Genomic DNA, 1,103 nt, shown 5'->3' with positions numbered 1-1,103 from the left:
GGTTTTTAAAGGTTACAAGAAGCTTGATGTTGTAATGTATGTAGCAGGATAAACACCATTATCATTCATTATATTCTAAAGACAGAGTCTTGCTCTGTTGCCTAGACTGGAGAGCTGTGGCATGATCACAGCTCACTACAGCCTCCACCTCCCAGGCTTAAGTGATCCTCTTACCTCAGCCTCCCAAGTAGCTGGGACTTACAGGCACATGCCACCAGGCCTGGCTCATTTTTTTGTATTTTTTGTAGAGATGGGTTTTTGCCATGTTGCCCAGGCTGGTCTTGAACTCCTGGGCTCAAGCAACCTACCTGCCTCGGCCTCCCAAAGTGCTGGGATTATAGGCATGACCCAACGCACCTGGTCAACCCCTCAGTACTAAGGAGAAAATCTCAGAAACATTAAATGATTTTGTTCAAAGGCTTACATGGATAGTAACCAACAGAGATGCGAATCAAAGCCATTTTTTTTTACTCCAAATTCAGTGGTCTTTCCCTGTGCTCCTGAAATAAAGTATTTCAACTTTTTAAATGTTTATATTAATTAAATTTTACTGAGTAAATACATAATTCTTGATATGTTCAAAATGGAAGAAGGAATAGTGTCAGTTCAGAGATGTAATTAAACATCTTACTACAATGAAGATCTTACAACTAAATTGGACAAGTGTTCATACATTTGTACCAAATGGCCAACTGACTATCCATTGTTCAGAAACCTTCGTATATCTGCATATTGTCAATCGTGAAACTATTAAAAGTGCAATTTTAAAAAGTTGTGCCCATCAATTCCCCTAAGGATTTACCCAAGAAAAATGAAAACATACCCACACAAAGACATGTACGCCAATGTTTACCGTAGTCAAAAGTGAAAATAATCCAAATGTCCATTAACTGGTGGTAAATAAGCAAAAGGTGGTATATATCCAAACAGGGGGATACTATTCAGCAGTAACAAGGGACAAAGTACAGATATGTTCTACACCAGATGAAACAGACACATCGAGCTAAGTGAAAGAAGCCAGATAGATACAAAAGATACATGTTCTGTAATTCCAGTTATGTGAAATATCCAGAAGAGGTGAATCTATACAAACAGAAAGTAGA

Source organism: Homo sapiens, chromosome 4, assembly GCF_000001405.40.
Source record: "Homo sapiens chromosome 4, GRCh38.p14 Primary Assembly".
Taxonomy (NCBI): domain Eukaryota; kingdom Metazoa; phylum Chordata; class Mammalia; order Primates; family Hominidae; genus Homo; species Homo sapiens.
This window is presented reverse-complemented; position numbering follows the sequence as displayed.